General features: G+C 36.4%; 1 protein-coding gene across 14 annotated transcripts in view; it reads left to right on the top strand.

The window, feature by feature from the left end:
- Positions 1–17475, top strand: part of HPSE2 (heparanase 2 (inactive)) — an 858875-nt gene that overhangs the window by 555480 nt on the left and 285920 nt on the right. For 10 of the 14 annotated variants that reach the window (XM_047425614.1, XM_011540030.2, XM_011540029.1 and 7 more), the window contains one exon: positions 16416–16589. The exons of 2 other annotated variants lie outside the window; for them this stretch is intronic. In XM_047425614.1, coding sequence (XP_047281570.1) covers positions 16416–16589 — 174 coding nt within the window. The remainder of the gene's footprint in view (positions 1–16415; positions 16590–17475) is intronic. 2 more of the 14 variants (XM_017016498.2, XM_047425616.1) reach the window with 1 other exon arrangement.

Genomic DNA, 17475 nt, shown 5'->3' with positions numbered 1-17475 from the left:
ATGTATCTCAACATAATAAAGGTCATATATGACATGCCCACAGCCAAAATCATATTCAACAGTAAAAAGCCAAAAGCTTTTCTTCTAAGATTAGTAACAAGACAAGGATGTCCATTCTTATCACTTATATTCAACATAGTACTAGAAGTCCTACCCAGACCAAGTGGACAACAAAAAAGAAATGAAACCTGCCAAGGCTAAATCATAAACAAATTATTAATAAAAAGGAAAAAGTGAAATTGTCTGTTTACAGATGACATCGTTTTATATAGGGAAAACCCTAAATACTTCACTAAAAAATTGTTAGAATTAATAAATGAATTCAGTACAGGTTGCAGGATATAAAATCAACATACAAATATCAGTAGTGCTTATATATATTAACAACAAGCTATCTGAAAATGATATTTTTTAAAACCCCATTACAATAGCATCAGAACAAAATACTTAAGAATAAAATTAACCAAAAAGTGAAAGATTTGCATACTAAAAACTATAAAACATTAATGAAAGAAATAAATAAGATACAAATAAATGGGAAGATACCCATGTTTATGAATTCAAATAATATTGTTAAAATGTCTCTACTACAAAAAGCCATCTACAGATTCAATGCAATTCATATCAAAATTCCAATGGCATTTTTCACAGAAATAGTAAAACAATTCTAAAATTCACATGGAACCACAAAAGACCCTGAATAGTCAAAGCAATCTTGAGCAAGAAGAACAAAGTTGGAGGCATCATACTCTCTGATTTCAAAATATTATTACAAAGCTAAGCTAATAAAAAGAGAATGGTTCTGGCATAAAAATAGACATATAGATCAATGTAACAGAACAGAGAACCCAGCAATAAACCCACACATTTTTAGTCAACTGATCTTTAACAACGGTTCTGAGAACTCACAATGGGGAAGAGATAATGTCTTTAATGTATGATATTGGGATACTGGATATACACACACTGAGGAATGAAATTGGATCCTTATTTAACACCATATGCAAAATTTAATTCAAAATGGATGAAAAACTAAAACAATAAGACCCAAAACTTGTAAAATTGCTAGAAGATATCACAGGGGAAAAGTGTCTTGACATTGGTCTGGGCAATTACCTTTTCTTCCAACTTTTATTTTAGGTTCAGAGGAGACACGTGCAGGTTTGTTGCATGGGTAAATTGTGTGTCATGAGTATTTGGCATACAAATTATTTCATCACTCAGGTAATAAGCATAGCACCCAATAGGTAGTTTTTCAATCCTCACCCTCCTCCCACACTCTACCCTCAAGTAGGCCCTGGTATCTATTTTTCCCTTCTTTGTGTCCATGTATACTCAGTGTTTAGCAATAACATGTCAGTGAGAATGTGCAGTGTTTGGTTTTCTGTTCCTGCATTAATTCACTTAGGATAATGGTCTCCAGTTCTATCCATGTTGCTGCAAAGGACATGAGCTCATTCTTTTTGTGGCTTCATACTATTTCATGCTGTGTATATACCACATTTTCTTTATCCAGTCCACCATTGATGGGCATTTAGGTTGATTCCATGTCTTCACTATTGTGACTAGCACTGCATTGAACATATGCATGCATGTATCTTTATGGTAGAATGATTTATATTCCTTTGGGTGTATACCCAGTAAAGGGATTACTGTGTCAAGTTCTAGTTCTGTTTTGAATTCTTTGAGAAATCTCCAAACTGCTTCCCACAATGGCTGAACTAATTTGCATTCCTACCAACAGTGTATACGCATTCGTTTTTCTCCGCAAGCTCACCAGCATCTGTTATTTTTTGACATTTTAATAACAGCCATTCTGCCTGGTATGATATGATGTCTCATTGTGGTTTTGATTTGCATTTCTCTAATGATTAGCAATGTGTTGAGCATTTCTTTATATGCTTGTGGGCCATGTGTATGTCTTCTTTTGAGAAGTGTCTGCTCATGCCCTTTGGCCAATTTTTAGTGGGATTGTTTGGCTTTTGCTTGTTAATTTGTTCAAGTTCCTTATATATTCTGGATATTAGACCTTTTTTGGATACATAGATTGCAAATATTCTCTCCCATTCTGTAGGTTGTCTGTTTGCTGATAGTTCATTTTGCTGTGCAGAAGCTCTTTAGTTTAATTAGGTCCCATTTGTCAATTTTTTTTTTTTTGTAATTGCTTTTGGAGTTTTCATCATGAAATCTTTGCCAGGGCATATGTCCAGAATGCTATATCCTAGGTCTTTTTCTAGGGTTTTTATAGTTCTACATTTTACATTTACATCTTTAACCCATCTTGAGTTGATTTTTTATATGGTGGAAGGAAGGGGTTCAGTTTCAATCTTCTGCATATGGCTAGCCAGTTATCCCAACACCAGTTATTGAATAGGCAGTCTTTTCCTCATTGCTTGTTTTTGTCAAGGTTGTTGAAAATTGGATGGTTGTAGATGTGCAGCTTTATTTCTCAGTATTGTAACCATTCCATTGGCCTATTTGTCAGTTTTTGTACCAGTACTGTGCTGTTTTGGTTTTTGTAGCCTTGTAGCATAATTCAAAGTCAGGTAATGTGATGCCTCTGGCTTTGTTCTTTTTGTTTAGGATTGCTTTGGCTATTTGGGTTCTTTCTTGTTCCATATGAATTTTAAAATATTTTTTTCTAATTCTGTGGAAAATGTCATTGGTAGTTTGATAGGAATAGCACTGGATCTGTAAATTGCTTTGGGCAGTATGGCCATTTTAACAATATTGATTCTTACTATCCATGTGCATGAAATGTTTTTCCACTTATTAATATTTGTGTTGTCTCTAATTTCTCTCAGCAGCGTTTCATAATTTTTGGTGTAGAGATCTTTCATTTCTCTGGTTAGCTGTCTTCCTAGGTATTTTATAATTTTTTTATGGCTATGGTGAATGGAATTGCATTTTTGATTTGGCTCTCAGCTTGGACAATGTTGGTGTATAGAAATCCTACTGATTTTTGTATATTGACTTTGTATCCTGAAACTTTACTGAAGTTGTTTATCCATTCCAGGAGCCTTTTGGTGGAGTCTTTAGGGTTTTCTAGGTGTAGAATCATATTGTCTGTGAAGAGAGATCATTTGAACTTCCTCACTTCTTATTTAGATGCATTTTGTTTCTTTCCCTTATCTGATTGCTCTGACTAGGACTTCCAGTACTATGTTGAATAGAGGTGCTAAGAGTGGCCATTCTTATCTTGTTCTGGTTCTCAAGGGAAATGCTTCTAGCTTTTGTCCATTCAATATATTACTGGCCGTGGGTTTGCCATAGATGGCTCTTATTATTTTGAGATATGTTTCTTTGATGCCTACTTTGTTGAGCATGTTTAACATGAAGGATGTTGAATTTTATGGAAAGCCTTTTCTGTGTCTATTGAGATGATTATGTGGGTTTTGTTTTTTGTTCTATTTATGTGATGAATCACATTTATTAATTTGAGTATTAATATGCAATGTTGCATCCCAGGAATAAAGCCTACTTGATTGTGGTGGATTAACTTTTTGATGTGCTGCCAGATTAGTTAGTTTGCTAGTATTTTGTTGAGGATTTTTGCATCTATGTTCATTAGAGACATTGGCCTAAAGTTTCCTTTTTTTGTTTCCTTCCTCTGCCAGGTTTTGGTACCAGAATGATTCTGGCCTCATGAATAAGTCAGAGAAGAGGTTCTTCTCCTGGATTTTTTGGAATAGTTTCAGTGTGATTGGTACCAACTCTTCTTTATATGTTTGGTGGAATTTGGCTGTAAATCCTTCTGGTCCAGGGCTTTTTTGTTTTTTGGTTGGTAGGCTTGTAACTACTGATTGAATTTTAGAACTTGTTATTGGTCTGTTCAGGGTTTCAATTTATTCCTTGTTCAGTCATGACAGGTTGTATGTTTCCAGGAATTTATCCTGGTTAGGTTTCCTAGTTTGTGTGCATAGAGGTGTTCATAACAGTCTCTGAGGGTTTTTTTAATTATTATTTCTGTAGGTTCAGTGGTAATGTCCCCTTTGTCATTTCTGATTGTGTTTATTTGGATCTTCTTTCTTCTTTCTTTATTAGTCTAGCTAGTGGTCTATCAATCTTATTCTTTCAAAAAACAAACTTTTAGTTTTATTGATATTTTGTATGGTTTTTCACATCTCAATTTCATTCAGTTCAGCTCTGATTTTGGTTATTTATTTTCTTCTGCTAGCTTTGGCATTGTTTTCTCTTGTTTTCCTTGTTCCTCTAGGTGTGATGTTAGGTTGTTAATTTGAGGCATTTCTACCTTTTTCATGTGGGTGTTTAGTGCTATAAACTTTCTTTTTAACACTGCTTTAACTGTGTCCGAGATTCTAGTATGTTGTATCTTTGTTTTCATTCGTCTTAAAGAATTTCTTGATTTCTGCCTTAATTTCATTGCTTACCTAAAAGTCATTCGGGAACAGGTTGTTTAATTTCCATGTAATTATATGGTTTTGAGAGATCTTTTTTGTTTGTTTTTTGTTTTTTTGAGACAGAATCTCTCTCTGTTGCCAGGCTGGGGTGCAGTGGCACCATCTCGGCTCACTGCAACCTCCAACTCCCTGGTTCAAGCAGTTCTCTCACCTCAGCCTCCCGAGTAGCTGGGATTACAGGCATGTGCTACTACGCCCAACTAATTTTTGCATTTTTCATAGAGATGGGGTTTCACCATGTTGGCCAGGATGGTCTCGATCTCCTGACATCGTGATCTGCCCACCTGAAACTCCCAAAGTGCTGGGATTACAGGTGTGAGCCACCACACCCAGCCAAGAGATCTGTTTAGTATTCATTTCTATTTGTATTGCACTGTGGTCTGAGAGGGTGGGTGATATGATTTTTTAAAATTTTTTTGAAAATTGTTTTATGACCGAGCATGTCTTCTATTATAGAACATGTGCCATGTGCAAATGAGAAGAATGTATATTCCGTTGTTGTTGGGTGGAGTGTTCTGCAGATATCTGTTAGGTCCATTTGGTCAAGTGCTGAGTTTTAGTTCCCAAATATCTTTGGAGTTTTCTGCCTCGATGATCTAATACTGTCAGTGTGGTGTTGAAGTTTCCCATTATTATTGTGTGGGTATCTAAATCTCTTCATAGTTCTCTAATAACTTGTTTTATGAATCTGGGTGCTCCAGTGTTGAGTGCATATATGTTTAGGATATTTAAGTCTTCTTGTTGAATGAACCTTTTTTCATTATGTAATGCCTTTCTTTGCCTTTTCTGATCATTGTTGGTTTAGAGTCCATTTTGTCTTAAATTGGATTAGCAACCCTTACTCTTTTTTGTTTTCTGTTTGCTTGGTAGATTTTTCTCCATCTCTTTACTTTGAGCTTATGAATCATTGCATGTGAGATGGGTCTCCTGAATACAGCATATAGTTGGGTCTTGCTTCTTTATCCTACTTGCCACTTTGTGCCTTTTTTGTGGGGCGTTTAGCTGATTTACATTCAAGGTTACTACTGACATGTATAGATTTGATCCTGTCATCTTGTTATTAGCTGGTGTTTATGCAGACTTGATTGTGTAGTTGCTTTATAGTGTCAATCAAGTGTGTTTTTGTAATGACCAGTAAAACAGTCTTTTGTTTTCATGTTTAGTACTCTGTTAAGAACCTCTTTTAAGGAAGGTCAGGTGGTAACAAATTCCCTTACCTTTTGCTTGTCTGAAAAGGATTTTATTTCTCTTTTGCTTATGAATCTTAGTTTGGCTGGATTGGGCACCTGTAGTCAGCATTCTTAAAGAAAAATTCTAACCCCAAATTTTTTTTCTTTAAGAATGCTGACTACAGGTGCCCAGTCTCTTCTGGCTTGTAGAGTTTCTGCTGAAAGGTCCACTGTTTGCCTGATAAAGTTCCCTCTGTAGGTGACCTGCCCCTTCTCTCTAGCTGCTTTTAATATTTTTTTTCACATCAACCTTGGAGAATCTGATGACTGTGTGCCTTGGAGATGGTCTTCTTGGATAGTATCTTACAGGGGTTCTCTGAATTTCCTAAATTTAAATGTCAAACTCTATAGTGAGGTTGGGGAATTTTTCATGGAAAAAATCCTCAAATATGTTTTTCAAGTTGCTTGTGCTCTCTCTCTCCTTTCAAGAATGCCAGCGAGTCATAGATTTGGTCTTTTTACGTAATCTCATATTTCTCAGAGGTTTTCTTCATTACATTGTATTCTTTTTTCCCTATGTTTGTCTGATTGACTTGATTCAAAGAACTAGCCTTCGAGCTCTGAGATTCTTTCCTCAGCTTGATCTATTCTGCTGTTAATACTTCCAGATTGTATCACGAAATTTTTGTAGTGAGTTTTTCAACTCTATCAGATCAGTTTGGTTCTTTCTTAAAATGACTGTTTCATCTTTCAGCTCTTGTATCATTTTATTGGATTTTTTAGATTTTTTGGATTCAGTTTTGACTTTCTCCTGAATCTCAGTGATCTCCATTGCAATCCAGATTCTGAATTCTATATCTCACTTCAGCCATTTCAGCCTGGTTAAGAACCATTGCTGGGAAGCTAGTGTGGTCATTTGGAGGTAAGAAGACACTCTGGGTTTTTGAGTTGCCAGAGTTCCTATTCTGGTTCTTTCTCATCTGTGGGTGCTGATGTTCCTTTAATTTTGAAGTTACTGTCATTTGGATAGGGTTTTTTGCTTTTATATTCTTTGATGCCCTTGAAGGTTTGACTGTGGTATAAGCTGGATTCAGTTGACTAGTTTCTTTTCTGGATTTCAGGGGCCGAGGCTCAGCTAAGCATTTCTGGGCTGCATGCTCTAACCCTGGGGGGCTGGTACCAGGCCCAAGGCTTTGTCCTCCGGCCCCCAAGGTTAAGCACTTGCTGCTGTGCTGGAGGGGCCAATATGTTCCCAGTCTGCTGGCCACAACACTCTGATGGAAGGTGCCAGCAAAAGTGCTTCATTCCTTTTTATGGGTGAATAATATTCCAATGTATTGATATACCACATTTTGTTTATATATTTATTAGTAATGGACACTTGAGTTTTTTCCACCTTTTTGGCTATTGTGAATAATGCTGCTATTAACATTGATGTACAAGTATCCTTTTGAGTCCCCACTGTCAGTTCTTCTGGATATATACCTAGGAGTGAAATTGTGAATCATATGGTAATTTTAGATCTAGCTTTTTGAGAAACCACCACTGTTTTCCACAGAGGCTGCAGCATTTTACATTCCCACCAGCAATGCAAAGCGTTCCAATTTCTCTTACCCACGCCAGCACTTGTCATTACCTGACTTTTTTTCTCACATAGTTATCATTTTTTTAGTGATAATACATAACATCTGTTCTCTTTACATTTTTACAGAATACAATGTATCATCATTACCTATAGTTGCCTTGTTCCACAATAGATCTCTTGGAAATTATTCCTCCTATGTAACTGTAATTATGTATTCTTTAATCAACACCTCCTCACCCCCACCTCCCAACTAAAGTCCTCAGCATCTGGTATCCACCATTCTACCCTCTGCTTCTTTGAGATCAACTTATTTTAGATTCCACATATGAGTAAAATCATGCAGTATTTGTCTTTCTGTGCCTGGCTTATTTCACTTCACGTACTGTCCTCCATGTTCATCCACATTGTCACAAATGACAGGATTTTATTCTTTTTATGGCTGAGTAGTATTCCATTGTGTATGTGTGCTACATATTCTTTATCCATTCATCTGTTGATGGACACTTAGGCTGATTCCATATCATGGCTACTGTAAATAGTGCTGTGATAAACATGGGAGTGCAGATATCTTTTTGGTCTTTTGGCAATATTTCTTGATGCTCTTACAGCTCTGTAAGATGAGAATATTAATACTGATGTCCTTTTATCTATGTCCCCTATACCCTTTCAAGACTTTTGCCATTTTCACTAACACGTTTATTTTTACTTTATCATTGGTGTTATTACATTTTGTTCTGCAATCCCAGCCAAATTATTTACAGTTTTCTGTAGAAAGTATCCAGATACTGAAAAGCAATGAAGAGTATTTATATAATTATGATGATATAAATGTCATTTACTGCTGGGACAAGATCTATGTTAGGTTAATATTTTCTGCTATATAGTCTAATGTTAAAACCCATAGGCTACCCAAAGAATCTTCCTATCCTCAAGGTCAAATTTGTCTGTCTTTACTTTGTACTCTTTTAACTGCTTAAGACCATATCACATTTTAGTTTATTTCATATTGGACTTGACTTTCTTATGCAGCTCTTTTGTTCCCAAGTTTTTCTGACTTTTTTCCTTATAAAATGTGTCTTTGTCACAGTCACATATTTTTCTATCCTTTTCATAATAGTGTTTATTTTTCAGAGCCTGAAAATTCCTTTCATAAACCTAGATAAGAAGAATCCAAATGTTCTTTGTCTCACTACAACCAAATGCAAGGTTATATTAAGAGCAGTGAGTAGGGAGCCTGTCCTCTCCAAAATATACATGGAATAGACTGATAGAAAGATTGAGAATTGTGTTTAAAAAGAACAGAGTTTATGAAGAAGAGTTAAGCAATAGCATTAAAGACTTACTTTTTAAAAAATCTTTCCACAAAAGTAAACCCTTAAATTTTAACTTCTCAGTAATTTTGACTTCCAATTTTGCTTCTTGAGTTCTATCACAACTCATTAAAGCTTCTTCATAGCTCAATACTTAAGATGTCATCCCTAGTATTAACCCAACCCCAAATAGGCCCCTTTCCATTGCATGTTTTTCCCCCTTGGGGAACTATGGGGAAGCTGTTCTCAGAGGCCTGACATCAAAGCGTTGAGTTCTGTTCAAGTATGTCCAGTCTCTAGATTTTGTTGTTCATGTGACTTGATAATCTGTCCATATTCTCACATGCTCACAATTAGAATAAGTTGATACTGTTCTATAGGCACCCATTTTTCCTTCTGGAGTCACCAGCCCTGTCTTCCAAGAGCTAAGGGTCTGGATCATGTGCCCAAGTTCTTAACCACACAGAAAAAACACTCTTTCTTCATGTGAAGGTTGCAAAAGAATAAAATAGTCACAAAGGGGTATTAGAGTTATTTTTGCCAATTAAGAAAAGAACAGTATTGAACTGAGTCCTTAAAACAAATTAACTATGTTTTCTATGTGAAACTTGCATACACTTGGTCTCAAACACTAGTCTAATAAAATTTGTGCCAATTTAATTCCCAGGTAACAGTTGTTGCTCCATCATTTCTATGGAAGAGGAGCTTAGAGGGGGCCATCAATTTGAAAAGTGAGGGCTGGAGCCATGTCTATAAGCTTTGTTTGCATAGTAGCTTACAAAACATGAAGAAAATGTTAATCGTCTCTGTCAAATAATGGAGGGAAAGTAAGGTAGCTGTGACTTTGAGGGAAATACGTAACAAAAACAGGATAAAAAGGTGGGAAGTTAATTCTGAATACGGAATCAAGGAAGGTGAGACTCAAGTAGATGCTCAGCATTAAGGGGAGGAGGGGGAAGAGCTGGGATGGAAACTAAGCTACTTTAATGACATTGGCATCTGTAAACTGGAAGATCCCTATGACAGCTCCTGTCTCTCTTCTTTCCAGTAAAAGGTTCTCTATCTCTCCCAACCTTTGAAAATGTTTTGCTTAATCAGCTTTATACTTCCCATCCACATCCCACTGCTTAACTCTGGATTTGCATATTCTGCCCACTCAAATTATTTACCTATACATCTAAGGACATTACAAACTTAACATGCCCCAAGCCCAAATTCTCATCTTGGCCTTCTTCTCTCTTCTCCCAATCTTTCACACTTCCTTCATAAATATCAAGTTTATCTTTCTGTTGCTTAAGCCAAAAACTTCAGAGTTTCTTGACTCTTTTTTTCTCACACACCACATTCCAATCCTTCAGCAAATCTTACTGGCTCAACCTTTAAAACATCCCCAGAAACCAACCACTTCTACCGCTCTGCTGCTACCACCCTGGTCCAAGCCACAATGATCCCTTGCTTCAATTATTGCTATAGACTCCTAATTTCCTTGCTTTCACCCTTGCTCTTCCCATCCCCTTCAGTCTCTTCAGCTCAGCAGCCAGAGTGATGATTTCACAGTGTGAGTTGGGTCATATTCAAAACCATCTAATGGCTTCTATGTCAATGAGGGCAAAAGCCAAAGTTCTTATAATGACCAGTAAGGCCCTTCGTGACATGTCCTTGCTACCACTGTGATCTCATCTCCTACTGCTCTCCCTCTCATTCATTCTGGGGCAGCTACACCAGCCTCTCAGTGTTCTTCACATTCATCAGTCTCACATGAGTCTTGGGCCTTTGCCCTTACTGTAGGACCCTCTGCCTGGAATTCTTTCCATAGTTATCTACTTGACTTGCTCCCTTCTTTCCATTGGGTCTCTGATCAAATGACACCTTAATTGTGATGCTTATTTAAAATAGCATACTAGCTACTATTGGTTCTATACTATCTCCTACCCTGCTTTACTTCTCCTGCCAGCCACATTAAATGTAACCTCCATGAGGGTAGGGCCTGTTTTCTGTTTTGCTCATTGCAATATAAATGTGTGTGTAAGTGTGTGTGTATATATATATATATATAGTGTTTAATATATATATATAAAATATATAAATTACACATGCAGATGCTCCTCAACTTATGAGGTTATGTCCCAATAAACTCATCATAAGTTGAAACTATGGTAAGTCAAAAATGCATTTAATACACCTAACCTACTGAACATCATAGCTTAGCCGGGCCTACCTTAAATGCACTCAGAACACTTACATCAGCCTACTGTTGGGCAAAATCATCTAACTGAAAGCCTATCTTATAATAAAGTATTGAATATTTCAAGTAATTTATTGAATACTATACTGAAAGTGAAAAACAAAATGGTTGTGTATTTGAAGTACGATTTCTACTGAGTGTGTATTGCTTTTGCACCATCATAAAGCTGGCACTATTATATACTATATAATCTTCTTTTATATATGTATATCTATCTTCTTGTATGTATGTATATATGCATATATATATCTGTATATATACATGCATGTATATATGTATATATGCATGCATATATGTATATATACAGAACAGATATATATATGCATGTATATGTACAGATATACACGCATGTATATCTGTATATATAGATATATATGCATGCATATGTGTATATTTACAGATATATATGGTGTATAATAGTGCCTGTCACGTAGTAACTGCTTAATAAATATTTGTTGAGTAATTTAATAAGTTAATGAATGTCCAATTTTTTGTTTGTTGGATTGCTTGTCTGTTTGGTTTTTAAAGTGTCAAGTACTAGGGAAACTAAGAGAAATAATCTGTCATTCATATCTTAGTGTGAATTCATTGACCCTTATCTACATTTTCCTAATAGAAAACTGAGATTAACTTTATTAAAGAAGTAGCTTACCTTGGATCTTGCATTTAAAAAAAACAATCTGGTTCTTCTCTCATTACTATTTTGTTTCTTTTCTTCTTTTTATTGCCACAGAACTTCAATAAGTAAGCTGAATGTATCAGAATCTATTCCTTGTTCATCTACTCATTCTTTAAGGTCTCATCACAACCTAAATCTAATTTCTAACCTCACTGTTTGATTAATCTAATGGTTTTTTTTTTCTCAGTCCTTTTCCTCCTCAGTTTGTCATGAACACCTACTGTTATGGAACAGCACCTCCTTGCAACTCTCTTATTTTGGGTTCCTTAAGACTGCATATCTGGGTTCTTCTTCTTCTCTTTTTGTTGTTGTTGTTGTTCTCCATGACCCTTATATGTGGACATTTCTTAAGGTTTTCTCTTCAGCCATCTTTCTACATTTTGCCCTTCAGAAATCTCAAGAACTTTCACAGCATCAACTGTCAGCACTGAGTGACACCCAAGCCTGTATACTTTTACATCTTTCTCAAGTCCCAGCTCCTCATCTTCAACTGCCCACTATCCAGTGCTTCTTAGAATTATATGCCTGTGAAATGTCAATGCACCCTGACTATAAGACATAGAGGCATTGGCCCCCTCTGGTGGAGGGAGTAGAAAGTAATCTTTAAGTATCTATTTGTTTTGATGGAACCTGAGCAAATTTTCTAAGGGAGATTACATGTGTTGAATATCTACTAAATTCTCTATATTCAAATATATGTACTTTTCTAATAAACTGTAGAACATATGTCTTAGATTAGCAATAATTATTATTTTTTGAGACGGATTTTCACTCTTGTCACCCAGGCTGGAGTGCAATGGTGTGATCTTGGCTCACTGCAATCTCCACCTCCCAGGTTCAAGCGATTCTCCTGCCTCAGCCTCCTAAGTAGAGTAGCTGGGATTACAGGCATGTGCCACCACACCCAGCTAATTTTTTTGTATTTTTGGTAGAGACCAGTTTCACTATGTTGGTTAGGCTGGTCTCGAACTCCTGACTTCAGATGATTCACCCACCTCAGCCTCCCAAAGTGCTGGGATTACAGGTGTGAGCCATTGCGCCCAGCCTAGCAATAATTATTTTAGACAGATCTCTCTTTTGCCTCTTTCTACTTCTTATAGGCCACTTTTATGCAACACAAAGGATTTGGGCCTTGAGAACTCTTCGGCATGATATTAAGGCAGAAAATTGCTGTGTGTTAGATGCTATGAAGGATATAAGATACGGTACCAAACTTAAGAAACTTCACAGTTTAACTGGGAAAACAAGTTGTTCACTCTGGAGAAGTGAATAAATCAAGAAGTAAATCCCAAGATAATATTATGTCACAGATAATATGTCACAGAGCAGTGAGATGCCAAAAAATGGTATAGCTCTTGAGTTTAGAGAAAGTCGAAATCACTTTCGGGAGGTTGGTGTGTTCAGGAATGGCGTCATGGAAGAGGCAGGACTTAAACTTATTCTTAAAGAAGTATTTCCCAAACTTTTAGCATTCTAGTTCCCAATTTTTGCTATGTGAACAAACTATCCATACTGTTTCTCCCATACTGCTCTTTATGTTGACACATTTTTTGTAAATACATTTTGCCTTGCCTTAAACCATCAAATCCATGAAATCAAAGGTTTGATATGCTTTTGTGTTTGATGTGTGTTTGTGTTTCTAATACATGTGAAACATACACAGTAAAATACTCATTATATGGAAATAGTTTTAGAAAAAGATGACTTAAATGGAATCAATCTATCCAAAAGGAATATCAGTCATTCATATTAAATTTTGATGCAAACATTTGATATGGATTTTAGTATATAAATGAAACCAAAAATTATGAAAATAAGTAATTTTATTGCATGCTTAATAGATGTCATTGAAACTATGGATGAATAAAATGTTATTTAATTGAATATTGAGTATTTTTTATGATAATATAACTTTCATGACATGAATAATAGAGGACTTAAAAATGGACCTCTGTTGATCTTATAATACTCAAATTATTTTTTGAGTAACCTAGAATAATAATTCTCAAATCTCAAGGAAACTTCTGGATAAAAGTTATTATATCTAAAGCTCATAGTATATTAGAATGACTATTGAGTTGTAGATATATAATTATCCAATATTGCCAGTGTTCTGTTAAATAGAGAGTTATATTTTCCTTAGAATCTGTTTAGTTTGGCCAGTTTCTTAACCTATTTATTTTTTGCATTGTTTCCCTCTCCCCACAAAGGATACCAATTCTAATGGTATAGATAAAAGAAACTTCAGTTTTTCTTTTTAAAAAAAAATCCTACTAGATTTTTTTTGTATCTTATACAAGTGGGCCTCAAAGTCTTAACACAAATTTCTGTTGTATCAATACTACTGAGGTATGGTAAATGCAAGTCCTATTTAAAACTAAATAGGACAACTATTTTAGACAACTATGATTGAAAAGAAAAAAAAGAGTAGTTATCTGTCTTTCTTGAAATTAATTTCATCATTTCCTTTTCATAAATTTGAAAATCTTATAAGGCAAACATAATTTGTTTTTGTTAAGTAACTAGTTTAAGCCACAATGGGATAAAATTTTTCTAAGGGTAGGTTTGTTAGGTTTAATTTAAATAAAGGTTATGAATTTACTTTAATATTATTTTGAATATAAAATGTATTAATGATGTTGAATAGTAAAGCATGTAAAACTATACATCAAAGCAATATGAATAAAATTATAGCCTATGATACAATTTTATATGATACTTTGACAAAAATTATTTTTTTACCTAATGGCATGTAGATAATTATAAAATTATTATATACTGGTTTCATGATCACTTTACTAAGCTATAAATGCATTTTAATTTTAATTGTTATTTTGGAACTAAAAATAATAATTAAATGTATTTCCTGAATGTGAAATTTATTCCTTTTGTTGTTGTTGTTGTTGCCCAATTACTCAATTCTGGGTAGAGTATGATGTAAGTTGACATCGATTTTATTTCTGGGTAGAGTATGATATAAGTTGACAGAAATGAGACAATTTCTGTCCTTGTTCTTGGTGCTTCTTAAGAAATACTTTCTTATATATGTAAGAAGATGAAAATGGCAGTCTTCCTATATCCTGCTTCAAAAACTGATAAAATACTCAACCCAATGATAATGGTTCTTTTTTAAAGGACTAAAAGATCTATAACAAAATTGCTAATGGGGTAACTTGGACACTCTGCATCATCTCTTGCAGAACCTCTGGTGACCTCTTGTGGAACCCTAGTGTTTCACAGAACCCCATTTGAGAAACTCTGCATTAGCTTTAACGGCTACTAGGATAACGTAAACTCTTCTACATAATTATTAATCTAAGAAGCTTTTTAAAACTGTGTACTACCTGAAGTCATATTATCCATACCTTGGGATACACTGTGTAAAAGGACAAGTAAAATATGGATATGTTTTAAAAAGCAGTAAGGGCATGACAAATAAGGAGAGCAAAGGTCAATGGGGCAAGGAGTTCTCTAACAAATAAACTGGCTGACATCAACAAAGAACTCATTAAGAGAAATAGGGAGGCCTAAAGTTGAGGGGAAAATTATGGGTGAGTTGTAGAAGCCTTGAATTAAGGAAGAAAATGGTCTTGAAAATCCACTGGTTTTGAGGATTGAGTAAAACTGGCTGAGAGTGACTGGGGGAAGATGAATTGGCCGGATGGGAAGAATCTAGAAGTAGACAGGCAAGTACAGAGATTATAGTAAGTTATCCAAGTGTAAATGACAGCCAGAAAAAGAATGGTGGCAATAGAAATGAAGGAATGGGATAAATAGGAGACACATGGTGATAGAGTTGATGGTATCTGGTATCAACCTGATAATGAACATATTTCTTTTTTTTATTTTATTTATTTATTTGAGACGGAGCCTCACTCTGTCACCCAGGCTGGAGTACAGTGGCGCAATCGCGGCTTACCGCAAGCTCTGTCTCCCAGGTTCACGCCATTCTCCTGCCTCAGCCTCCTGAGTAGCTGGGACTACAGGCAGCCGCCACCGCGCCTGGCTAATTTTTTGTATTTTTAACAGAGACGGGGTTTCACCGTGTTAGCCAGGATGGTCTCCATCTCCTGACCTCGAGATCCACCCGCCTCGGCCTCCCAAAGTGCTGGAATTACAGGCGTGAGCCACCACGCCCGGCAATGAACGTATTTGTAGTAGTGGTCATAGTATTTCCATTGTCAGAAATATTAGAAATCTGGACTTCAGTGAAAATTTTTGGAAATCATACTAGGCTGAGCTATTTTCCAAGACTCACCAGCCAGTTATCCTTCCTGGCCTTGTACCCTATTATTCATCTTATGTCCTGTAGGAATATGGACCTAGCAGTGCCATATTGTCTGACTTTTCAAGGAAAATTAAGAAATTCAGCTACTTTGTGAAATCTTCCCATTTTCAAACATCAGCAATTTAACTTTGTTAAATAAAACATATGATGGACTAGATTTGGTTGCCAATTTGCAACCTCTGTCTGGAATTCTCTCTGCTGCTTGTTTTTTTTTGTTTGTTTTGTTTTTTTGTTTTGTTTTGTTTTTGAGACGGAGTTTCGCTCTTGTTGCCCAGGCTGGAGTGCAATGGTGCAATCTCGGCTCACCACAACCTCAGCTTCCCAGGTTCAAGCGATTCTCCTGCCTCAGCCTTCTGAGTAGCTGGGACTACAGGCATACACCACCACGCCCAGCAAATTTTGTATTTTTAGTAGAGATGGGGTTTCTCCAGGTTGGTCAGGCTGGTCTCGAACTCCCGACCTTAGGTGATCTGCCCACCTCGGCCTCCCAAAGTGCTGGGATTACAGGCGTGAGCCACCGCGCCCAGCCCTGTCTGCTGCTTTCTAAAGTCAACTTGAAATGTACCCAGACCAAAAGGTAATAGTCCCTTTTAGAAGCCTGTCTGTGTTATTCCTTATTAGTGGGAAGCTCATAGAAAGGCTTTTTATATTAGCTACTATTTTCCTTTTGTTGGAATGTTGATTTGAAAGTTACAAGCCTTTCTCTGCTTCTTCCCAGCCAGGTCTCTAGACAAACTTTATAACTTTGCTGATTGCTCTGGACTCCACCTGATATTTGCTCTAAATGCACTGCGTCGTAATCCCAATAACTCCTGGAACAGTTCTAGTGCCCTGAGTCTGTTGAAGTACAGCGCCAGCAAAAAGTACAACATTTCTTGGGAACTGGGTAATGGTAAGTAAGGATGTTACTTCCTCTGAATTGACAAAATAAAGGGGAAAAATAAGTTGGCTTGTGATACAGTCTCAATCAGACCATCTCTAGTACCCTGGCCCAGAAAACGTTTGTGATGTTTGGCCACTGAGTTGACTATCCAAATGGTAGAAGACCAAATAGTGAAGGACAGTATATTTAGTGAATACACACCATTTGCATCTATAGTTATCTCTAGTTACCTCATTCCAAATATGGGGAAAATGCCACAAAATGGGAAATATATAGTGATTTATGACTAACAAATTGATTTTATAACCTGTTTGCACAGCCTGAGCTGCCTTTTACAATGTGTGTTCTGTGGAACATTGGTCCTACAAGATGATCCTTCTAAAATAATAATTGAAAAGAGCTTTGGTCAAATATATTTGAGGACCTTTATACAGTATGTGAACCTCCTGAAGGTTCACAGTGCACATTAGTATATAAAAGGCTATAAGAAGTCTTGTTGCAAAGAAATCTGTTAGACATTTTTTAACCCAGCATTTCTTAAACAATTTAACCGAGGCTAGTTTCAAGGGTGTGCAGCCTGTGCAGTCACATAGGGCCCATGCTTAGAAGAGACCCATTCTTGGCTGGGCGTGGTGGCTCAGGCCTGTAATACCAGCACTTTGGGAGGCCTAGGTAGGCGGATCACGAGGTCAGGAATTTGATACCAGCCTGGCCAACATGGTGAAACCCCGACTCTATTAAAAATACAAAAATTAGCCAGACGTGGTGGCAGCCGCCTATAATCCCAGCTACTTGGGAGGCTGAGGCAGGAGAATCGCTTGAACCCAGGAGGCGAAGGTTGCAGTGAGCTGAGATCATGCCACTACACTCCAGCCTGGGCAACAGCAAGACTCCA

Source organism: Homo sapiens, chromosome 10, assembly GCF_000001405.40.
Source record: "Homo sapiens chromosome 10, GRCh38.p14 Primary Assembly".
NCBI classification, from domain to species: Eukaryota; Metazoa; Chordata; class Mammalia; order Primates; family Hominidae; genus Homo; species Homo sapiens.
Note: the sequence above shows the minus strand (reverse complement) of the source record. Positions and strands in the feature narration are given on the sequence as shown.